This window comes from Homo sapiens, chromosome 3 (assembly GCF_000001405.40).
Source record: "Homo sapiens chromosome 3, GRCh38.p14 Primary Assembly".
NCBI lineage: Eukaryota > Metazoa > Chordata > Mammalia > Primates > Hominidae > Homo > Homo sapiens.
The window spans coordinates 197,933,830-197,958,164 of record NC_000003.12 but is presented as its reverse complement, the minus strand read 5'-3'; the positions used below and the strand labels follow the sequence as shown (position 1 = coordinate 197,958,164).

General features: G+C 44.2%; 2 protein-coding genes across 11 annotated transcripts in view, besides 3 other annotated features; one reads left to right on the top strand and one right to left on the bottom strand.

Annotated features, from left to right (window-relative positions):
• DRC9 (dynein regulatory complex subunit 9) overlaps positions 1-24,335 on the top strand; it is a 71,101-nt gene that overhangs the window by 2,013 nt on the left and 44,753 nt on the right. For 3 of the 9 annotated variants that reach the window (XR_007095755.1, XM_024453790.2, NM_032263.5), the window contains exons 3-5: positions 12,479-12,545; positions 14,114-14,387; positions 19,385-19,617. Coding sequence is in view for 7 of the 9 variants with exons in the window: in XM_024453790.2 (XP_024309558.1) it covers positions 12,538-12,545; positions 14,114-14,387; positions 19,385-19,617 (515 nt within the window). In the remaining 2 variants the exon portion in view is untranslated. Of the gene's footprint in view, positions 1-8,239; positions 8,793-12,478; positions 12,546-14,113; positions 14,409-19,384; positions 19,618-24,335 lie in introns of those variants that run through there. The other 6 variants (XR_007095756.1, NM_001134435.3, NM_001323030.2 and 3 more) reach the window with 5 other exon arrangements.
• On the bottom strand, positions 1,555-7,975 carry RPL35A (ribosomal protein L35a). Of its 2 annotated transcripts, none has more exons than NM_001316311.2 (5): positions 7,866-7,975; positions 7,187-7,229; positions 6,854-7,006; positions 4,018-4,162; positions 1,555-2,415 (listed from the first exon to the last, which is right to left on the bottom strand). In NM_001316311.2, the coding sequence occupies exons 2-5, from the start codon at positions 7,195-7,197 to the stop codon at positions 2,392-2,394; spliced, it is 333 nt and encodes a 110-aa protein (NP_001303240.1). In that variant the 5' UTR covers positions 7,198-7,229; positions 7,866-7,975; the 3' UTR covers positions 1,555-2,391. The 2 variants fall into 2 exon arrangements, with proteins under 2 accessions (NP_001303240.1, NP_000987.2); NM_000996.4 differs by having other exon boundaries at positions 7,944-7,975.
• Positions 5,926-6,707: an enhancer, noted in NCBI's record as "H3K27ac-H3K4me1 hESC enhancer chr3:197678329-197679110 (GRCh37/hg19 assembly coordinates)". NCBI's record gives its function as "activates a minimal SCP1, AML or CMV promoter by ChIP-STARR-seq in primed H9 embryonic stem cells {active_cell/tissue: H9 hESC(primed)}" and the evidence as "EXISTENCE:reporter gene assay evidence [ECO:0000049][PMID:30033119]".
• Positions 7,491-8,273: an enhancer, noted in NCBI's record as "NANOG-H3K27ac-H3K4me1 hESC enhancer chr3:197676763-197677545 (GRCh37/hg19 assembly coordinates)". NCBI's record gives its function as "activates a minimal SCP1, AML or CMV promoter by ChIP-STARR-seq in primed H9 embryonic stem cells {active_cell/tissue: H9 hESC(primed)}" and the evidence as "EXISTENCE:reporter gene assay evidence [ECO:0000049][PMID:30033119]".
• Positions 8,353-8,572: an enhancer, noted in NCBI's record as "active region_21122". NCBI's record gives its function as "activates an Ori minimal core promoter by ATAC-STARR-seq in GM12878 lymphoblastoid cells {active_cell/tissue: GM12878}" and the evidence as "EXISTENCE:reporter gene assay evidence [ECO:0000049][PMID:35858748]".

The following is a 24,335-nucleotide window of genomic DNA, read 5'->3' as shown; positions in this document are numbered from 1 at the left end:
GCCTAGAAGTTCAAAGGTGCAGTGAGCTATGATCACACCACTGCACTACAGGCTGGGCAACAGAAACCCTGTCTCAAATGAGTAAATTTTAAAATTTCCTGTGAATCAAGTTCTTCAGTGACGTTGTATTACACTCAAGAACAATCTTAAGCCTAAGATCCTCAGTTCAGTACAGGAGACCTCTCATGTGGCATTTTAGTTTTCTGGACTTTCCAGTCAGCCACTTGTGTTCCTAAAATCTTCCTGCCATTTCCTCTTTGAGATGCCGCCCTATTTCTTCCTCTACACTTTACGGTTTTATGTTACGCAGCCAGTATACCTACATGCCTCTATCCCTGAATACCCCGAGTACTACTGATCACATCTACTTAACTGGCACAATGAACACAGTAGGTACTTTTAGCTTATGTTGGCCTTTTGGAGTGGGTGTCCAAGATCAGCACTTCCTCGCGCTGACTGCGTAATTCCCAAGTTCAATTTCATTAGCATTCTAATATACAACTTCCAACTTCCGGCCTTGAAGTACTGCTCACTTCTGGTGAATACAGCATCAGTGCACTTTGTTTGCCTTAAAACCACAATCCTGGGAGGCTGAGACAGAATGGCGTGAACCCGGGAGGCGGAGCGTGCAGTGAGCCAAGATTGCGCCACTGCACTCCAGCCTAGACGACAGAGCAAGACTGTCTCAAAAAAAAAAAAAAAAAAACCACCACAATCCTAATAAATGAGCCTGGCAGAGTACTAACACAAGCCCATGTCCACGAAGCACGGGACTCCAACAATGGCAGCTTTGGCTTGCATACCACCATTGGACTGACCAAACCTTTCTTAGAACTGCCAGTGTGACAGAGGGACCTCTGGGGGAGGGCGTCTTGCTTTCTCTTGGGTCAGTATATCTCACTACCCTCTTTGTAGGTTAGCAGATTTGTAACAGGATGTTACTGGAGGAAGGGGAAGTGGGAAAGCTGGACAGTATTCCCACTCTTTTCCCTTACTACAAAAACTTTCCTTCTCAGTCCTGTCTCCAGGAGATGGAAGACCAAATAACACAACAGCCAGTGTGCTTTTCCTACCCAATCCTTTCTTTCACCCTCTTATCCTAATACATTTCCAGCATGTTAATTCTTTTGCAGCATAGACAAGAGAACCCATACACGCTGCAAAACTGCAAAAGGGCTTAGGTGGCAAACTCCCAGTTTCTTGTTGACATTTTCAGTGCAATTTAAAGATGTTAATTTAAAAAACTACCTGTGCTGTAGAGATCAGTAACCCTCAGGGGGCAGACAAAAAGACTGTTACTGCATCAGTTAGAAATGTAGTACTACCTGGGCAACATAGTGAGGCCCATCTCCACAAATAACTAAAAAGTTAACTGGTTGTGGCTGCACATGCCTGTGGCCCCAGCTATTTAGGAGGCTGAGGCAGGAGGTTTGCCTGAGCCGAGGAGGTTGAGGTTGAGGTTGCAGTAAGCTGTAATCACGCCACTGCACTCCAGCCCAAGCAACAAAACAAGACCTTGTCTTCAAAAAAAAAAAAAAAACCATACAGCAAAACTGATGCCTTAGTTGTTTTATTTTAGCATATCCCCAAGAAATCTAAAATATTTAGGAGGCCTGCTTAAAGTGCAATCTTGAACTTTACCAGATTAAAACATGAAGCCAAAGAAAGCTGCCACCTTTCCGTGCACTATTCCCAACCTCCATGTACCTACCATAGGATTGCTTTTTATGAGTGGAGTAATATGGCTTAATTTTATTTTAATATACTGGAATGCTTTGTCCAGTCACAAGTCCCAAGAGCTTCTCATCCCAGTCTATCCAAATGAACTGCCAAAGCCCATCAACATAATCTCCATTCAAATTTTAAGTTTCCCAATCTGCATTGAACAAATGCATAGTATCACAAAGCACTTGGCAGGTGTGGTGGCTCATAACTGTATCCCAGCACTTCAGGAGAGGCCAAGGAAGGAGGATTGCTTGAGCCCAGGAGTTTGAAGCCAGCATAGGCAAGAGTCAGACCCTCTCTACAAAAAATTTAAAAATGACCCAGGGATGGTGGCATGAGCCTGTGGTCCCAGCTACTTCAAAGGCCAAGGGAGGATTGCTTGAGCCTTTGAATGTGAGGCTGCAGCGAGCACCACTACACTCCAGCATGGGCAACAGAGCAAGACTCTGTCAAAGATACTCGCATTAAAACCCGTTCCCTTCTAAATCTCTGTACTCGCCCTGTAATTTTCATCACATGTCTCTCTGACCCCCTTGTACTCCAAAAATGCTGAGCAACCTCTATCATTTTAAGCATGTAGCAAATCAATTTAAGGTAGTAAGTTTTTTAATCCACTTAAAAATACAAGAGCACAAATCCACATTTATTTATTGATTTTTCGTTAGTTTAAATCCTTGAGGGGTACAGCATCTGCAGGGAAAAAAGAACACAAAACATTAGGTGAATGTTATATATACGTCTACAAATCAAGAACCGTAATACGGATAAATCTCTGAAAGGCTACCAATTACATGTTCTAGTGGTAAGGAAAGTTTTTATAGCCTTCAGTCTCTACGTGAACATACCGTAAGAACCGGCACTCATAAAAAACATGTACTGGCCAGGTGCTGTGGCTCACACCTGTAATCCCATCACTTTGGGAGGCCTAGGCGGGCAGATCCTAAGGTCAAGAGATAGAGACCATCCTGGCCAACATGGTAAAACCCTGTCTCTACTAAAAAATACAAAAATCAGCTGGGCATGGTGGTACGTGCCTATAGTCCCAGCTACGCAGGAGGCTGAGGCAGGAGAATCGCTTGAACCTGGGAGCTTGCAGTGAGGCAAGATCCCACCACTGCACTCCAGCCTGGTGACAGAATGAGACTCTGGTCTCAAAAAAAAAAAAAGAAAAAGAAAAACATGTACTGAAGGTACATTTAATTTTGCTTCTTCTAAAGACAGAGTAAAAGCCTCCTCTGTTGATAAACCCTAATGAACCACTTAGCAGGGTTCAACAGTACCCCCTGGCCCCAAGAATACATGGTATGCATATATTCTTGGTCCCAAGAATATACAGTCTACATTCCAAAATGGACCCTAAAGAAAAAGTACGAACTATTTGAGAAAAATTACAGGAGAAAATTGAGAAAAATTTAGAGTCCAAGGCTGGCACCAAAGACCTGAGACCTAGGAACATGAGAGTCTGTTTTCTTCATGTACAAAATAAAGCTACTAACACCTGTTCTAACAAGACTGACATGATGGAAATGGCAAAATATTAACAATTATGCCAGGCGTAACTGTTGAATTGTTGCTTTCTAACAATTACTTCAGTGCCCAATAAATATCTTCACCAGAAAACTATTTATTCAAGGCTGGCTGTGGTGGCTCAAGCATATAATCCCAGCACTCTGGGAGGCCAAGGTGGGCAGATCACTTGGGCTCAGGAGTTCAAGACCAGCCTGGGCAACATGGAGAAACAAAATACAAAAATACAAAAAATTATCTGGGCATGGTGGTATATACGCCTGTAATTCCAGCTACTCGGGAGGCTGAGGCACAAGAATCACATGAACTTTGGAGGCAAAGGTAGCAGCAAGCTGAGATCATGCCACTGCACTCCAGCCTGCGTGACAAAGTGAGACCTTGTCTCAAAAAAACACAACAAAAACCCCAAAAATTAGCTGGGTGTGGTGGCACACGCCTATGGTCCCAGCTACTTGGGGGGCTGAGGTGGAAGGATTGCTTGAACCCAGGAGGTCGAGGCTGCAATAAGCTGTGATTATGCCACTGCACCCCAGCCTGGGTGACAAAGTGAGACCCTGTCTCCCCCCAAAAAAAAAACAAAAAACAAACAACCAAACACCTAATTCTTTCAATTACTATCTCTCCAGTGTTCTGCAATACACAAATTTTGCAGCATAATTTACTGGTGTCAATTTCACAACCACAGAAGTCCTCAGAAGTCAAAGCACAACACCTTGAACCTAGTCTGATTCATCAGACGTCCATTTTGCTAAAAACCATACTCACCACTCGGATTCTGTGTCCAATGGCCTTAGCAGGAAGATTGCTTCGGAATTTGGCACGAACCATGCCACTGTTTCCATGGGCCCGAGTTACTTTTCCCCAGATGACTCTGGTTTTGTTTGGTTTGCCGCCAGGAGTGACTGTGTTGCTGATTTTAAAAAGGGAAAGAAGAGGAATACAAGCTGATATAGTTGGATACAAATTCAAGGTGACCTCTACACGAGTGGCTCTCAACCCTGGTTACCCACTTCATCACCTGAGAAACTTTAAATGCCTAGAACACCATTCATTCAACAGATACTTATCGAGTAACTATTGTATGCCAGGCCCTTCTGTAAAATACAGCAGCTATAAAACAAAAATCTTTCACATGATAACCAAGTAAGTTTAAGGAAAATACATAGGTCAGATGATAACAGAGGCAATATTGAAAAAATAGCAAAAAAGGACAAGTGTGAGGATATTTGTGTGTACAGAAAGGAGGAATTACCTGCCATTTTAAATAGCCAAGGAAGGTCTCACTGAGGTGACCATGGAACAAAGACTGGAAAGGGAGGGGAAATGCCATGAAGTGATCACGGGATGACTAGCGCAGGCACTGGGGCCAAGGAGTGTGTGTCCTGGCCGGAAGAAAGACTGAAGACACCAAGGGGTTAATCCCAGCTGAGATAAAGAGAATTATGGAGCTCTTAATGACGGGCTTTTACTGAATGAGAGAAACTACTGTGGTTCGAGCAATGTACAAAGGATATGACTTTATATATATTTCCTTTAAAGACCACGGGGTTGTCTTGTCACCCAGGCTGCAGTACAGTGGCCCAATCATAGCTCACTGCAGCCTCTATCTCCTGGCATCAAGCAATCCTCCCACCTAGGGCTCTCAAATGCTGGGGCTACAAGTGTGAGCCACTGCACCTGACTTAAAATTTTAAAGGAACACATTGGCTGTAGAAGAAAAGGTGGGGCAATGATTAAAACACTTTCCCAGAGATTTTAATTGGCTTGGAGTGGGTGAAGACAATAGGATTTGCTCTTGTTGTCCAGGCTAAGGTGCAATGGCACGATGGCTCACGCCTGTAATCCCAGCACTTTGGGAGGCTGGGGCGGGTGGATCACGAGGTCAGGAGTTCGAGACCAGCCTGGCCAACATGGTGAAACCCTGTCTCTACTAAAAATACAAAAGTTAGCCGGGTGTGGTGGTGCGCGCCTGTAATCCCAGCTACTGGGGAAGCTGAGGTTGCAGTGAGCTGAGATCACACCACTGCACTCCAGCCTGGGCAACAGAGCAACACTTTGTCTCAAAAAAAAAAAAAAGTCTACAGCATAAACATCTTTAGGCATGCATAAAAACTAATTTTGGCCTGGTGCAGTGACTTGCGCTATAATCCCAGCACTCTGGGAGGCCGAGGCAGGTGGATTACTTGAGGTCAGGAGTTCAAGACCAGAGTGACCAACACTGTGAAACCCCGTTTCTACTAAAAACATAAAATTAGCTGGGTGTGGTGGCACACGCCTGTAATCCCACCTCACTCGGAGGCTGAGGCAGGATAATCGCTTGAACCCGGGAAGCAGAGATTACAGTGAGCTGAGATTGTGCCATTGCACTTTAGCCTGGATAACAAGAGCAAAACTCTGTCTCAAAAAAGAAAGAAAAAAAGAAAAGAAAGAAAAGAAAAAACAAGGGGCGGGGCACCGTGGCTCCTGCCTGTAATCCCAGCACTTTGGGAGGCTGAGGTGGGTGGATCACAAGTTCAGGAGTTTAAGACCAGCCTGGCCAAAATGGTGAAACCCCATCTCTACTAAATATACAAAAATTAGACAGGCATGGTGGCGGCCGCCTGTAATCCCAGCTACTCAGGAGGCTAAGGCAGGAGAATCCCTTGAACCCGGGAGGCGGAGGTTGCGGTGAGCCGATATTGTGCTACTGCACTCCAGCCTAGGTGACAGTGAGACTCCGTCTCCAAAAAAAAAAAAAAAAAAAAAAAAAACCCATAATTTTAAGGCATTAACAAAATGCATTAAGCACAAGTGTTCTAAAAATCCTTAAATTCTGGCAAAAGGAGCCGAGAAAAAAAATTAGAAACCTTAAAAGGATCACAATATAAGGAATTACCTCCTTTATTGCTTACAAGTGCAAAAGGTACCTAAATCCAACACCACCCTCAGAAGTAACGTCCTTCTAAAACTCCCCATTAAGTTCCTTAATGACGCAAAATAGAAGCCACAGCAATACCAATCCAGCCTGGCCAACATGGGGAAACCCATTCTCTAGTAAAAATACAAAAATTAGCCGGGCGTGGTGGCACACCCCTGTAAGCCCAGCTACTCAGGAGGCTGAGGCAGGAGAATCGCTTGAGCCAGGAGGCAGAGGCTGCAGCGAGCCAAGATCGCGCTACTGCCCTCCAACCTGGGCAACAGAGACTCTTGTCACAAAAACAAAAAAACAATACCAAGTACTTCAGCTAAATCTTTTGTTTATTATTTCAATAGGATAATGAGGCCAGGCGCGGTGGCTCAAGCCTGTAATCTCAGCACTTTGGGAGGCCGAGGTGGGCGGATCACCTAAGGTCAGGAGTTTGGGACCAGCCTGGCCAACATGGCAATACCCTGTCTCTACTAATAATACAAAAACTAGCCGGGCGTGGTGGCCGGCGCCTGTAATCCCAGCTACTCGGGAGGCTGAGACAGGACACTTGCTTGAACCCGGGAGGCGGAGGTTTCGGTGAGGGAGACCAAGTCACTGCATTCCAGCCTCGGCAACAGAGCAAGACTCCGTTATATAAAAAAGAAAATGAGGCAGATCTCAAAAACCCAAAACCTACCAGTGTCATAAACTTACTTCTTTGCTTTATATACATAAGCGCATCTCTTGCCCAAATAGAATTCTGTTTCATCTCGGGCGTAAACACCTTCAATTTTAAGAAGAGCTGTGTGCTCCCTTTGGTTCCGGAGACCCCGCTTATAGCCAGCAAAAATGGCCTTGGACCACAGCCTAAGACACAAAAGATACACAACATGAAACATAAGCTTCAAAAAACCAATCTGACTTGTAATCACCCCCACCCAAAAGTTACTCAGAGCAAACATCTAAGTTTTTTCTTGCCAATTTTAAGCTCGCATTTACGTTCACGTCTAACACACAAAAATAAAGAACTATATTTAAAACGCGTACCTTCCAGACATAGTTCCTTTTAGAAGTCCCGTTCCCAGCAGGCCTTAAAACAAACAAAAAGATTAGTTTAAAACCAAGCCACACAAGTTTCCCACCTCGTCCCCTCTCGTTTAAGCCCCTAAAGCAAATTCCTTTTGGATGGGAGTTTCATGTAGGAGTTCGGGGACAACAATGCCAGAACATCCATATGAAACGCAGGGTCCGGCAAGACATTCAAACCTCAGAGAACAGCTGGTATCTAAGCAAACTTCAGAATGAAGACAAAACTAAGGGACAGGAGTCACAAAAATGACTCTCAGAAAAGCCTGAGAAAATGCATGCCGTTATCAGTAGGCAACACTCAGGAAAAGAAATGAAGCCTTAAAGAGAAACACACACGTAAGACTTTTATGCAATGGCTGGGGGAGAAAAGCTGAGGAAAGAGACTGGTCAGACAAGCCAAGGAAGGTATGGACTGGGAGGAAACGGATGAAGGAAGCACTGCCTCATGGACAACTGCACACGAACAAAAACATCGTTTCACTCCGTTCAGGCCCAGGAATTTAACTGGGATAACCCGGGCAGCCGTTCTCCGGGTGTCAGGGGACCAAACACCATCAGCCCAACATCTCCTCCATCCTGTTCTCCCTCTTCTTGAAACCCGTAGAAATCAATGGCTGGCAGAGACTCCGATACGCACCGGCGACTCGCCAAGGCACAGGAACAAACCTACTCCGGTTATTTGCCCCCAAATTTCAGCAGCAGACCCTTCACTCACCTCCACAGGAGCCAAGATGGCGGTAAGAGAAGGACGAGGCCCCGCCGCGTGGCCTTGTGGGATTAAACATCTTTCGACTCCGCCCTCAATTTAGGCATCTTCTCCAAACGCCAGAAAAACAATCCTCGGAAATCGGCTTCGCACTGAAATAAGCCACATTCAATAGCACTCTTACAATTATTTTCCTAAGTCCTTTCATCTTGGTAGGCTGCAAAATGTACTACTTGGGAACAAGGGAAGGCAAAATGGTAGCCAGCTAAATCCGCCAAAGCTGTGCGTTGCCATAGAAACAACTTAGTTTACTTCCTGCGTCCCCGGACGCCGTAGGTGGAAAGGCGAACCCTGAGTGGAGGATGTTCCCGCTGCCTAAAGAATGATTGACTGTAAGATTGATTTGCCAACAGTGGGGTGCTTTTCTCTCGATACACACAGCAATAGACAGAACGGAAATTCTGGGATCCTAATCTAGCATGGAAGAGAAAGGCCGGGAGCACGAAGGCAGCAGGACCTCTTCCTTCTCTTTTTTCTTTTTCTATACTTCTTTTCTCCCCTCTACTTATTTATCTCTTTCAAGAAATGAGACTGGGCACAGTGGCTCACGCCTGTAAACCCAGCTCTTTGGGAAGCCGAGGCGGGAGGATCGCTTGAGGCCAGGAGTTCGAGACCAGCCTGGGCAACATAGTGAGACCACCTCCCCCAACCTCTACAAAAGAAAAAAAAAATGAATGAAATGACTTAAGTTCTTACCTCCATTCTTCTTTTTGGATCCGAGGTATGAGGAGGACTGCCTGCAGGAGGCTTTATCGCCCTTTTAGGAGAACTCGTTTAGCTGCCTCGTGTCCGCACCTAGTAGGTCCTCCGTAGATACTTGTAGAGGTGGATTAGTGGACGCCAGAGATTCACATTTCCGAATTATTGCATATTTATTTGGGTTATCCTATGGATTCATTCATTTATTTAACACATAGTTTAATGAATGACTACCCTGTACCAAGGTTTGTGTAAGATGACACGGCAGTAAACAAATCTATGCCCTCGTGGAGCTTATATCCTACGAGGCGGAGCAACACAATGAGCAAGTAAAAATAGATGACACGTTAGAAGATGATAATTTCTGTGAAGAAAATTAAGCAGAGAGGCCACTGTAAAAGAGGCTTTCCCCACTTTGAGATGGGAAGTATGTAAAAGAGGCTTCCCCTGCTTTGAGATGGGAACTATTTAAGGGTCCTGAACAGAAGGGTGACTCTATCTGACTTCTATATTGACAAAGTCACTGTGTTGAAAGTGAAGGGAGGCAAGGGTATCAGCAGGAAGATAATTATAGGTTCCTGTAGTGACTATGATGAGAGGTGATGGTGTGTAAACAGAGGATATTGAGTACTGGAATTCTGAATATATTTAAATTCTGGCAAGATTTGCTGGTGGATGAGGAATGAGAGAGAGTAAAGTATGACTCCGAAGTTGTATGAAATAGATGTATATAAGTCACTTTTAAAATCAGATCCTCTCTTAAATACAACAGGATAGAACTTGTACCTTGTAGCCTACTACCCCACCCAGTGTTCCCTGTCCCAGAAAGAAATGTGCTAGAAATTTCACTATTAGATATTGATTTGTCAAAGTTCTATATGGAAGTCCTCCTGGGAGGAATAACACATTAAGTGTGAGTTTCATTCGTTTGCTCGTGTATTATTCGTTCCACAAATACTTATTGAGCACTGAGACTTAGCACCTGATACAACTGTGAGCATCGTTGTCATGTTGCTGCTTTCATGGAACAGTTGTCTAGTGGGGGGAAACTGACACTAACGTAACAAATTGTGAACACAGCTCTGCGGGAAAGTAGTGGCATGAGTGCCCAGAAGCCTGATCTGGCCTGACGAGTCAGCGAAAGGATCACTTGGACAAGTGTCAGTTAAGGCATTTTTCAAACTGCAGGTGATGACCATTAGTAGAGCATGATAAGAATACTTTTTAAAACAAAGTATGGGCCGGGCGCAGTGGCTCACGCCTGTCATCCCAGCACTTTGGGAGGCTGAGGTGGGTGGATCACTTGAGGTCAGGAGTTTGAGACCAGCCTGGCCAACATAGTGAAACCCTGTCTCTACTAAAAATACAAAAATCAGCCAGGGGTGTTGGTGTGTGCCTGTCATCCCAGCTACTTGGGAGGCTGAGGTACAAGAATCGCTTCAACCTGGTAGGGGGAGGTTTCAGTGAGCTGAGATCCTGCCACTGCACTCCAGCCTTGGTGACAGAGTGAGACCGTCTCAAAAAAAAAAAAAAAAAAAAAAAAGGTAAAGCAGGAGTGAAACTACAAGGGATGATGGAGTCTCCCGGGACCTAGGAAAGAAATAGTTACCTAAGCCCAGAGAGAGACGTTTGGAGAGAATTGCCTGACAGGAGCCATGACCTTTGATAGAGGAACATAACCAACCAATTATATTCTGGCAGAGAAGGAGCAGGGAGAATAAATGTCTGATCTCACTTCTCTACACTGAATCTCTTTCTGGAATCTCCCCTGGATATACTCCATACGGGTCCATCTCTCAGAGCACAGAAAATGTTAGAGATTTCACCTAGAAAAATGACACTGTCTTAAGCTGGTGATGGGTCAGTGGGACTTTACACGGTGAAAAGGTGAGGGAAGAGTGGCTCCACTGGAAGGAATAGCAGGTGCAAAGACCCTGAGTTGCAAGGGAGCATGAGTCCAGAGAAGAACTGAAAGAAGCCCACTGTGGCTGGAGCCCAGAGAGCAAGGAAAGTGCAGTTGTAGTTGGGTCTAGAGAGGAACAGAGGGGCCCAGATCATACAGACCTTGTGGACCAAGTCAAGAATTTTCTTCTTTGTCCTAAGGCAACGGGAAACCATTGAAGGGTTCTAGGGAAGGACATGATGAGATTTTCCATTTTAAAAGATCACCCTTTCATTTTAAAAAGCTCACTTCCTGAACCTTCTGTCAGGATATCAGAAAAAAAAAATTTAAAAATTAAAAGATCACTTCCAATTTAGAGGTTGTTGGAGTAGTTCAAGCAAAAAAGAAAACAAGGAAACAAACAAACACAGCAACAACTAGGTCCAGCTTAGGAGATATGGAAATAGAAAGTAAAATCCGCCTGGGCGCCTTGGCTCACGCCTGTAATCTCAACACTTTGGGAGACTGAGGCAGGTGGATCACCTGAGGTCAAGAGTTCGAGACCAGCCTGGCCAACATGGTGAAACCCCGTCTCTACTAAAAATACAAAATGGTGGTGTGAGCCTGTAATCCCAGTTACTCGGGAGGCTGAGGCAGGGAAATCACTTGAACCTGGGAGGCAGAGGTTGCAGTGAGCCAAGATCGCGCCATCGTACTGCAGCCTAGGCAAGAAGAGAAAAACTCCATCTCAAAAAAAAAGAAAAGAAAAAAAGAAAGGTATTCTGCTTAATACCATGCTACTTCCTCCTAAAACTGCCCCTGCATCAGGACATTTGGCTAGTCTGAAGTACTTTTTCAAATTTATGTGAAGATTCTGTTTTGTGTGTTTGAATTTTTGCATGTAAGATTTTTGTTGCAAGAGTCATATTTGCACCACGTCTCTCAGAGTTGCTTTATTGTGGACAAATTTACATTGGAAACTCACCACTCACTGTCCATTCAGTACAACGCAAACTTCTCCATAGGGGTTTTCACTGTAAAGCTCATTTAAGCAGAAAGGATTTTGGTTTACTGAGGAGGGGTAACATCTTGATAGCAATGTTAAACTGATTTCCAGGATTAATACAGTTTTCCTTTTTTTTTTTTTTTTTTTTTGAGACGGAGTCTCGCTCTGTCGCCCAGGCTGGAGTGCAGTGGCGCGATCTCGGCTCACTGCAAGCTCTGCCTCCCAGGTTCACGCCATTCTCCTGCCTCAGCCTCCCGAGTAGCTGGGACTACAGGCACCCGCCACCACGCCCGGCTAATTTTTTGTATTTTTAGTAGAGACGGGGTTTCACCGTGTTAGCCAGGATGGTCTCGATCTCCTGACCTTGTGATCCGCCTGCCTCGGCCTCCCAGAGTGCTGGGATTACAGGCGTGAGCCCCCGCGCCCGGCCCCAATTAATACAGTTTTTCTAAGTGTCATCTCACTTATTCCTCTAAGTCCATGTGGAGCAAATTCTGTTATCTGGCAGAGAAGATGAATTGAGTGACCTAATTAAATATTACAGTAATCAGAATGATAGAAAAAATCAAGTATATAGAGATTACCAATTAAAAATCGGTGATATAATAGAACATACTAAAACCACGTTGAACATTAATTTACCTAAAGAAGAGGCTCACAGAGTGCATGTGTCTTGAGTTTGGTAGAGCAGTAATAACTCAGTTGACTTCTTCATAGACCTGCACTCCATGATGTCGGAGGCTCTTTCGCCTCTGGGACTGCTCCACTCCGCACAAAGAGGCGATAGTCACAGCTCCCGTAATCATTTAATTTTCTCTTAATGAAATGGTATAGAAATAACTGAAACATCATTCAAGACGCCCATAAACTAATCTCAGTGTTTCTTTCCCATTTTAGGTAACTGCACTTTTGTGAGATTATAAATATACCACGGAGGGTAACGAAGCTACAGAAGAATGGAAGAGTATGTTTAAAATTCCAATGTTTTTTGTATACATGTATTTAAATTATGCCTTCTGTTAAATTTCTGTGTATACCTTATCTATTGCTGCGTAACAGATTACCCCAGAACTTAGTGACTTAAAATATAAACATTTATTCTTTCCCACAGTTTCTGTGGGTCCCAAGGTTAGGAGCAGGTTAGCTGGATGGTGCTGGCTTGAGGTCTCTCCTGAACTTGAAGTTGGCCAGGGGTGGCAATGATCTGAACACTTGATGGGGGCTGCAGTATCCACTTCCAAGGTGGTTCATTGACAGAGCTGGCAAGTTGGTGCAGGCTGCCGGCAAGAGGCCTTAGTTCCTTACCTTCATGGATGTGTCCACAGTGCTGCTGAAGTGTCCTCATACCAAGGCAGCTGTCTTCCCTCACAGTGAGAGATTTGAGAGAGTGAGGCAGAAGCTGCAATGTCTTTTATCACCTAGCCTTGCAAGTCACACTCCGTCATCCCCACCGTAACCTTCTGGTTACATAGGCTAGTCCTGCTCGGTGTGGTGTAGACTACACAGAGGCGTTAACACTAGAAAGTGAGAATCATTTGGGCCACCTTGGAGGCTGGATACCACATTCTGTTTTTCACTCATCATGAGACACTTTTGGTTAGCATCCAAAGATACTCCTAGGGAAAAAAAAGTTAATTTTGGCTCAAATTCAAATTGATCAGAATAGCCAAATTGCATGAACTACATACCTTTATTAAACAGTAGGCCAGGCGCGGTGGCTCACGCCTGTAATCCCAGCACTTTGGGAGGCTGAGTTGGGCAGATCACCTGAGGTCAGGAGTTCAAGGCCAGTCTGACCAACATGGAGAAACCCAATCTCTACTAAAAACACAAACTGGCCGGGCGCGGTGGCTCACACCTGTAATCCCAGCACTTTGGGAGGCCGAGGTGGGCGGATCACGAGGTCAGGAGATCGAGACCATCCTGGCTAACACGGTGAAACCACGTCTCTACTAAAAATACAAAAAATTAGCCAGGTGTGTTGGTGGACGCCTGTAGTCCCAGCTACTTGGGAGGCTGAGGCAGGAGAATGGTGTGAACCCAGGAGGCAGAGCTTGCAGTGAGCCAAGATCGCGCTACTGCACTCCAGCCTGGGCAACATAGTGAGACTCTGTCTCAAAAAAAATAAAATAAAATAAAATAAAATAAAAACACAAACTTAGCCAGGTGTGGTAGCACATGCCTGTAATCCCAGCTACTCGGGAGGGTGAGGCAGGAGAATCGCTTGAACCTGGGAGGCAGAGGTTGCGGTGAGCTGAGATAGCACCATTGCACTCCAGCCTGGGCAACAAGAGCGAAACTCCATCTGAAAAAAAGAAAAAAAAAAAAAGAGTAAGTTGTTTGCCTTTGGTTGGTCAAAATGGAAGATACTTAGCAGAATCACACGCCAAATCCTCCTTTTTTTTCATCTAGGTTCTATTATACGACGATGTGAATATCACAGGAGCCCAGCACGTTGCTGCCTGTGCTTTTGAGTTAAAGTAATGTTTAAATATTGGTTGCTGACTTATTTTTTCTTTATTCTTTCCTTAGAGACAGCCTGGAAGACTCAAACCTTCCTCCAAAAGTTTGGCATTCTGAGATGACGGTGTCAGTGACAGGCGAACCACCTAGTACCGTAGAAGAAGAAGGAATACCTAAAGAAACAGACATAGAAATCATCCCAGAAATCCCGGAAACTCTAGAGCCACTGTCCCTTCCAGATGTGCTGAGGATCTCGGCAGTTCTGGAGGACACCACAGACCAGCTCTCTATTCTGAACTACATCATGCCCGTTCAGTACGAAGGGAGACAGAGCATCTGCGTGGTATAGACCCACTCACCATGAGTTAATTTTGCTTTATTTTTTATTTCTCCCTCATTTATAGTACCTATCCCATTAAATGTACTTATTTTTCTTTCTTTCTCTCTCTCTCTTTCCTTCTTTGTTTCTTTTCTTTTTTTTTTTGACAGGGTCTCGCTCTGTGGCCTAAGCTGGAGTGTAGTGGTGCCATCATGGCTGACTGCAGCCTCTACCTCCCAGGCTCAAGTGATCCTCCCACCTCAGCCTCCTGGGTAGCTGGGACTACAGGCCTGCACTACCACACCCAGCTAATTTTTTATAAAAATTCTATAGAGATGGGATCTCACTATGTTGTCCAGGCTGGTGCCATTAAATATCACGTGGGAAATAGCACCTTTATTTCAGATAAAGGGGCTACAATAACTATCTGAGATATGCACTCTCAACTGATGGAGTGAAATTGCCATAACTCAAGGTATATTACCAGACAGAATATCCTTTTCTAGTATATTGGTTTTACCCAAAAAGGCCTCTACTGAAATCAGTATGAATACAATCTATATACTGAAGAGATGGAATTACTGAGTTGTCCCACCCAACTTGTATTTCTCAGCTGCTGCAACCTAACTGAACACTAGGGGGAGGAAATTCAACTCCACTCTTAACGCTTTAATCTAAAATGACTTTGTTGTCATTGATGAATCCTCTGTGAAGCAGCACTGAGTTATCAGAAAATTAACTTAGTAGTGAGCAAAGTCTTTATGCATTTTTAAGCTCTTGTACATTTCAGTAACTTAGGTTGTAGGTATAAAATGGAAACAATTTATAAATAGAAGTACACATTTATCAAGTTATAAATAATAACATTATATAACTTGTTCAGAAGATACTTTTTTTTTTTTTTTTTTGAGATGGAGTTTCGCTCTTGTTGCCCAGGAGTGTCTAGGCTCACCGCAACCTCCGCCTCCCGGGTTCAAGCAGTTCTCCTGCCTCAGTCTCCCAAGTGCTGGGATTACGCCACCACGCCCAGCTAATTTTGTACTTTTAGTAGAGACGGAGTTTCTCCATGTTGGTCAGGCTGGTCTTGAACTCCCGACCTCAGGTGATCTGCCCACCTCGGCCTCCCAAAGTGCTGGGATTACAGGCGTGAGCCACCACACCCAGCCCAGAAGATATTCTTATGTCTGATTCTATGACCATTGAAAATTGCTATATAAATAAGAGGGTAAATTGCTTTTTTTTTCATTTTGTTTGTTTTGTTTTTGCTTTTCATTTCTAACAGTAAAGTCCATATTTATCAAGAGAAGAAAATTAAATTTCCCTTTAATTTTCCATTAAAATTTCAAATTTTCTAAATTATTATTGTTATATATACAGCCTGGGCTCTTTTTTTTTTTTTTTTTTTTTTTTTTTTTTGTGAGACGGAGTCTCGCTCTGTTGCCCAGGCTGGAGTGCAGTGGCGCGATCTTGGCTCACTGCAAGCTCCGCCTCCCGGGTTCATGCCATTCTCCTGCCTCAGCCTCCCGAGCAGCCCGGGTTCTTAAAGCTTTCATTAAAGTTTAAAAAGTTTAGATAAGATTTTACAAAACAATGGATTTGGAGTCAGGAGACGTTTGGGATATAGTTACGTGCTGTTAGCAATCATTTCACTTTTTTGGTCTAAGTTTTCTCATTTGTAAGTTGTAATGGAGTTTTACCTAAATGACCCATAGATCCCTTCCAGAGCTGGCATTCTGCGAGTTTTGGGGTAGTTTTAAAATGCTGTAAGTATCACAGGAATTGTATAATGTAAGTTAACTTCCTTGTTAACTTATGAAGGGCAAACAGATAAGGATCTAAGAACAAAATCTTCCACTGCATTTAAAATAAGAGGCTAATCTTAACAATTTAAGCTGGCTAACAAATAGTACAGAAGAGACTGGTGTATTCTTCCTATTTATTATCTCCTTCAGCAAGAATAAAAAATAAAATGGGTGCTTTGGGAGGCCAAGGTGGGAGAAATACTTGAGGCCAGAAGTTTGAGACCAGCCTGGGCAGCATAGAAGACCCTGTCTCTACCAAGAAAATACAAAAATTAGCCAGGAATTGTGGCGTACGCCTGTAGTCCCAGCTACTCAGGAGGCTGATATGGGAGGATCATTTGAGCCCATGAGACTGAGGCTGCAGCAAGCCAAGGTCACACCACTGCATGCCAACCTGGGTGACAGAGTGAGACCTTGTTGAAAGAGAAAGAAAGAAGGAAGGGAGGGAGGGAGGGAAAGAAAGAAAGAGAAAGAGAGAAAGGAAGGAAGGAAGGGAGGAAGGGAGGGAGGGAGGGGAAGGGGGAGGGGGAAGGGTGAGGAGGGAGGGGGATGGGAGAGGAGGGAGGGGGATGGGAGAGGAGGGAGGGGGATGGGAGAGGAGGGAGGGGGAAGGGAGGGGAGAGAGGGAGGAAGGAAGGAAGGGAAAGAAAGAGACAGAGGGGAGAGAGAGAGGAAGGAAGGAAGAAAGGGAAGGAGGGAGGAAAAGAAAGAAAGGAAGAGAGGAAGGTAGGAAGGGAGGGAGGGGGAAGGGAGGGCAGGGAGAGGGAAGGGAAGGGAGGGAGGAAGGAAGGGAAAGAAAGAGACAGAGGAGAGAGGGGAGAGAGAGAGGAGAGAGAGGAAGGAGGGAGGGAGGGAAGGAAGGAAGGAAGGAAGGACAAACAAATGGGAAGGCATTCAGTTAATAAATGAAGTCTTTTCAATGCTACCTGCTGTCAGCCTTTGAAAAGAGTAATTTGCCATCATGGAATATCAAGAATGACAGTGTTCTAAATTAATCGACAGTGTTCAGCAGTGGTCACTACTCCAGTAAATGAATGAAACTTTTGCACTGTTTTTTTCTGGTTTATCATAGTGATCTTTTACCCACAAAATTTTCTGACTCAACAGAAACCCTCCTTGTGATTTTACTGTAGTGTAAATAGTAATATATAATATGTATAATTATAGTAACTTTAATCATGTTGATTAATAGCAATTTAAAAGCCCATTTCTCAATATGTTAGCTTCATATCTTTTAAAAATTGTGAATCTCTTAAAATATTTTTTGGTTTGTATTTCATGGTACTATAGTTGTTCTGACTCATGAATTTGAAGATGCCGCTGCCCTGTAGGGCCTAGGCTGTATATTTTTAAATGTTAGTATATGGATGTTTCCTTTCCCAAAGGCTTGACATCCTTGAGCCTTTTAACAACGTTGAGAGGAAAGATTAGCATTTTCCCTCTTTTAAAGCCGTTTTTATGGCTAAGGCCATCTCCAGATACATTTTCATGTATTAGAATTATGAAATGAAAGGATGAAAAATATATTAATATACGTGGTTCTGCCAGAAATGAGAGTGATTTGACCAAAGTTTGGAAAGAGTTTTCTTGCAGGGAATACTGTTTTTCTTCTCTTTTTCCTTACGGTAAAAAACCCTATCTTGTACATAGCATGTGCAATATAAAATATATTATTATATATATATATATATGTAAATTTTTAGAGGCCAGGCACGGTGGCTCACGCCTGTCATCCCAGCACTTTGGGAGGCCGAGGCAGGTGGATCACCTGAGGTCAGGAGTTTGAGACCAGCCTGGCCAAAATGGCGAAACCTCATCTCTACTAAAAATACAAAAAAATTAGCCGGGCATGATGGTGTGGGCCTGTAATCCCAGCTACTTGGAAGGCTGAGGCAGGAGAATCGCTTGAACCCGGGAGGCAGAGGTTGCAGTGAGTGGAGATGGTGCCACTATAATCCAGCCTGAGCGACACAGTGAGACTCTGTCTCAAAAAAAATTTTTTTTAGTGCGTCAACTAGAACACTTAGCTCGTTTCTTTAATTCTATTCTAAAAATTCACATTTCTTTCTAGTAATCAGTAAATCAGGCCATGAGACACATTTGGTTCCTTTTCCAGATGTCCAAGTATAAAGGTAGAGGAATAGTGGTTAGGGAACTCAGAAAATGGGGCATCCCAGAGGTCACAGTGAGCCGAGATCGCGCCACTGCACTCCAGCCTGGGCGGCGGAGCAAGACCCTGTCTCAAAAAAAAAAAAGACAGTGGAGCCTCCTAGACCTTACATTTCCCCTTATTGCCTTAGGCAAAATCTAAAATAATAACCATTTATTTTACCAGTGGGAAAATGGGGACACAGAGATGTTAACTAGTTGCCCAAGGTCAATAGAGTTGAGAGACAGCAGGATTCAAACATGGCTTCAGAATCCGTATGTGTAGTCGCTGCATCGTGTGCCTCAGTGGCTCAAGCTTTTAGCCACAGTTTAGTTTACACCATCAGCTGAAAGGCATAGGCCGTTCCTGCGGTCCCTTAATAGTCAGCACCATCAGCTGAAAGGCATACGCCGTTCCTGCGGTCCCTTAATATTCAAGTTTGGTTCTGAAAAAAATTATTTTGGCTTTTCCCTCCATGATCCTCAAAGTCTACACCACACCACTAAATGTACTATCAACCTCTGCTTTTAGTATGATTCTCCTTTTTTTATTTGTATTTCAAGTTCATATGTTCAAGGAACATTTGCGTCTCTGCTATATGCTAGTCATTGTTCTAAGCAATGGGACTACAAAGATGGCCACATTTATTGAATATCCAATCTTGTTCCAAAAATAACTTGAGACTAGTCTTCAAAAAAAGTTTTTCTTGAAGTGGAACCAAGATCTCTAAGACACTGTCCCCCCGACCCTAGAAACCACGACCTGATGGAGATACTTTATAAAAAATTACAACATGAGAAATGCCTGCTAACAGAGATATTTCACAAAGAACTTTACTTTTGAGCAGAGTGTACCAGGTGGTAAGTTGGGGAATGACGGAGAAGAAGAATGTTGTGTGAAGTTAGCAGCAGGGCGCGTGTGGTTTGGTGTGGCTGAAGAAAGGGGCACATTTTCTTGGAGTATAGAGTAGAAGTCAGAGAAGATAATGTTGAAAAATGTACACAAAGGCCTCTTTCTTGTTGTATTGTCTCTTTAAAAAAATTCTTTCTAATTGTTTATTGTTTTAAAAGAAAAGCAGAGAAATGAATCTAGAAGGAACGAATCTAGACAAACTTCCAATGGCCTCAACAATCACAAAAATACCCAGTCCGTTAATAACTGAGGAAGGACCCAACTTGCCAGAAATCAGACACAGAGGCCGGTTCGCTGTGGAGTTTAACAAAATGCAGGATCTTGTCTTCAAAAAACCTACAAGGCAGACCATCATGACTACGGAGACACTGAAGAAAATTCAGATTGATAGGTAAGGAAGGAAGACATTTGGCAGTGAAATAACGTATTTACACATAGATGAGCGAAGGGGCGCCCAGGTGGCTGACTGCTATCGTCTACAGGTTAGTCATTACTGTGTATGCAAAATGACTGCTGAGAATAGAATTAGCTAAAGACTGCCTAGAGGCAGGGTGATATGAATGGAAAGCAAGGCAGCTATATGATATTGCATAAGTTATTAAGTCTTTTTTTTTTTTTTTTGAGATGGAGTTTCGCTCTTGTCACCAAGGCTGGAGTGCAATGGTCTGATCTCGGCGCAGTGCAGCCTCCGCCTCCCGGGTTCAAGCAATTCTCCTGCCTCAGCCTCCTGAAGAGCTGGGATTACAGGTGCACGCCACCATGCCCGGCTAATTTTTGTATTTTTTAGTAGACAACGGGTTTCACCATGTTGGCCAGGCTAGTCTTGAACTCCTGACCTCAGGTGATCCACCCGCCTCGGCCTCCCAAAGTGCTGGGATTACAGGCGTGAGCCACCGCGCCCGGCCCTTTGTCTTTGTTTCCAATTTTTATTTTATTTATTTTTTAAATTTTTTTCTTTTTCTTTTTTTCCTTCAGCTGTATACCTGCAGATTGTTTATTTTTTAGAGACGAGGTCACTCTGTAGCCCAGGCTGGAAGCCAGTGCTATTGACTGGAGAGATCATAGAGCACTGCCGCCCTCAAGCTTCTGGCTTCCAGTGAGCCTCTCACATAGCTGGGACTACAGCCACACTGGCTGTTTTCAATTATTAAAAATGAGAATGGGCTGGGCGCGGGGGCTCAACCTGTAATCCCGGCACTTTGGGAGGTAGAGGCTGGTGGATCACGAGGTCAGGAGTTCAAGACCAGCCTGGCCAATAAAGTGAAACCCTGTCTCTACTAAAAATACAAAAATTAGCCAGGCGTGGTGGTGGACACCTGTAATCTCAGGTGCCTCGGCACCAGCTACTCAGGAGGCTGAGGCAGGAGAATTGCTTGAACCTGGGAGGCAGAGGTTACAGTGAGCTGAGATGGCACCACTGCACTCCAGCCTGGGTGACAGAGCAAGACTCTGTCTTGAAAAAAAAAAAAGAGAAAAGAAAAAGACCGTGATAGCAACCTTGCAACCTTAGTGTAAGGGTTAGAAATAAGGCTTTAGTACCTGGCACAGCTTGGTAGCTATTGTGATGCTTTATCCATTAATAGCTACTATATAGCTATTATTATTCTACATAGCCAAATTCCAAACTGTGTTTTAATCCTGAGGGTTTCTTAAAGGCAGTCTAAATTCCCATTGTCTCATAATGTTTTGTTGTCAGCTGGCTCGATGACAAATAAGCCTGTTAAGAGGGTGTAACATTACGTTAAGAACTTTTGGTAAATGAGAGTTTTTACTGCAATTACGCAGGACCACTAGCTAAATCCAGTCTGAAGTCTGTTTTTGAAAAGCTTTATTGGAATACGGCATCGCCCATTTGTTTATACGTTGCCTGTGACTGCTTTCATGCCACAATGCAGAGTTGAGTCGTTGCCAAAGAGAACTTACGCCCTGCAAAGCCGAATATTTACTACGTGCCTCTTTACAGAAAGAGTTTGCTGACCTCGGTATTCGACCCTAACCAAGAGTAAGATCTTGCTAAAGTCAGCCTGGCCCAGATCTGCATCGGACAGAAAGGCAACCTGCTTATAAATTGCCCGCTTCATGTCCTTTTCATTCTCAGTGTGTGGCTCGTATCTTTTCCTGAAAGACCCAAAATACCAGTCGCAATTATTTGTAGGGGATTAGTTTTAGATTTATATTCCATCTGAAACCCAGGGTATATTCACAAAATGTACATCTCCACCAGTTATCCAGAATCAAGTGGAAATCAAAATATCAAGGACATAAAAACTACAACAGGCCAGGCGTGGCAGCTCACACCTGTGATCCTAATGCTTTGGGAGGCCAAGGTGGGAGGATTGCTTGAGCCCAAGAGTTTGAAACCAGCTGGGTAACATAGTGAAATCTCATCTCTACTAAAAATCAAGAAAAGTAGCTGGGCATGGTGGTGGGCCTGTGGTCCCAGCTACTCTGGAGGCTGAGGTGGGAGGATCACCCGAGCCTAGGAAATTGAGGCTGCAGTGAGCCGTGATTGTGCCACTGCACTCCAGCGTGTGTGACAGTGAGGCCCCATCTCAAAAAAAAACTTAAAAAGCAAAACAGCAACAACAAAAAAACTACAACTCTTTATGAATTTAAAATGGGAATTTGTAGGAAGCTTGTGTATGCTTTCCTTGCTGTACTCATCTTTATGCATTATTGTCTTATTGCATTGAATTAATAATTATTTTATCATAACATACTACTGTCAAAAGACAAAATTACAACAAATCTAAATATCTTTTTTTTTCTTTTTTTGAGACAGAGTCTTACTCTGTCGCCCAGGCTGGAGTACAATGGTACAATCCTGGCTCACTGCAACCTCCGCCTCCTGAGTTCAAGTGATTCTCCTGCTTCAGCCTCCCGAGCAGGTCTTGAACTCCTGACCTCAGGTGATCCGCCCGTCTCAGCCTCCCAAAGTGCTGGGATTACAGACGTGAGCCACCGCGCCAGGCCACAAATCTAAACATCTTAATTGGCTTTTATTTGCAATTCTAAATCAGGCAACACCTCATTCTATGAAGTAGAAGTACTGTTCTGATGACCTGGGCAGAGGAGGTTGGCTTTACAGGCAGAAAGGGCTGAAGAAAGCAGAAACAGAGACTATAACGTGAATGGTCATGTTGAAGTTACTTTCCTGGCTGCAGGCGGTGGCTCACACCTGTGATCCCAGCACTTTGGGAGGCTGAAGTGGGAGGAGTGCTTGAAGCTAGGAGTTCAAGACCAGCCTGGGCAACATAGCGAGACCTCATCTCCACAAAAATGAAAAAAATTAGCTGGGCGTGGTGGCGTGCTTTAGTCCTAGCTACTGAGGAGGCTGAGGCGGGGGAGGACCACTCAAGCCGGGGAGGTTGAGGTTACAGTGAGTTACGATCATGCCACTGCATTCCAGCCTGAGTGACAGGGCGAGACCCTGTCTCTAATTAATTAATTAACAATTTTAAAAATCACAAATTTACTTTTCTTTTCTTTTTTTTTTTTTGGAGACAGAGTCTCGTTCTGTCGCCCATACTGGAGTGCAGTGGCGCAATCCCGGCTCACGCAACCTCCGCCTCCTGGGTTCAAGCGATTCTCTTGCCTGAGCCTCCCGAGTAGCTGGGATTACTGGCGTGCGTCACCACGCCTGGTTAATTTTGTATTTTTAGTAGAGACAGGGTTTCACCATGTTAGCCAGGCTGATCTCGAACTCCCGACCTCAGGTGATCCGCCCGCCTCAGTCTCCCAAAGTGCTGGGATTACAGGCATGAGCCACTGCGCCCGGCCACAAAATTACTTTTCTTGGAAAGATTAAAGCAAAGGGGACTTCCTTACCATACCAGCTAAAACTGGCTATTCTCTAAATCTCCCTCTCCCTTGAGTTGTTATGTAAAATAGTAACTATAATTCTTGCCAACTGTGTCAAGACATTAAATAGCCATTTTTAATTTTTATTTTATTATTATCATTATTTTGAGACAGGGTCTCACTCTGTCACTCAGGCAGGAGTGCAGTGGCACAAACATGACTCACTACAGCCTCAAACGACCCTCCCACCTCAGCCTCCCAAGTGGCAGGGACTACAGGCACGTGCCACCATGACCAGCCTTTTTTTTTTTTTTAATTTTTGTGAGATGGGGTGGGGGGAGGGGGTCTCACTATGTTGCCCAGACTGGTCTTGAAATCCTGGACTCAAGCGATCCTCCTGCCTCGGCCCCTCAAAATGCTGGGATTACAGGTGTGAGCTCTTGTGCCCGGCCTAAACAGCTCCACTTAGGAGAGGATCATGAAGAACAGCGGACTACGCGTTAGGAAACCTGGGCTATATGTCTCCAGCTCTTTCTCAAACTAGGTATGTGACCACGGGCAAGTCACTTAACTTTCCTGAACCTGGTTTACTCATCTCAAAAATGTGAATGTTTCCTGAACCTGGTTTACTCATCTCGAAAATGTGAACGTTTGGCCGGGCGCCGTGGCTCACGCCTGTAATCCCAGCACTTTGGGAGGCCGAGGTGGGCAGATCACTTGAGGTCAGGAGTTTCACACCAGCCTGGTCAACATGGTGAAACCCTGTCTCTACTAAAAATACAGAAGTTAGCTGGGTGTGGTGGCACGTGCCTGTAATCCCAGCTCCTCGGGAGGCTGAGACAGGAGAATCGCTTGAACCTGGGAGGTGCAGGTTGCAGTGAGCCGAGATCGTGCCACTGCACTCCAGCCTGGGCAACAAGAACGACACTCTTGTCTCAAAAAAAAAAAAAAAAAGACCCAGAATGAACATCATAATGAAAATTGGAATTATCCCAGGAATGCAAAAATAGTTTAGCATTAGAAAATGTAAAAAAATAAATAAATAGAAAGATCAATAGATGCAGAAAAGGCATTTGGCAAAATTCAACATATAAAAATCAACACTAAAAACCTCTTAGCAAACTAGAAATTAAAGAAAACTTCTTTTTTTTTTTTTTTTTTTAGCTGGGTGAGGTGGCCCATGCCTGTACTCCCAGCCACTCAGGAGGCTAAGGCGGGAGAGTCGCTTGAACCCAGGAGGCAGAGGTTGCAGTGAGCCAAGATCACACCACCACACTCCAGCCTGGGTAACAGAGCGAGTCTCCATCT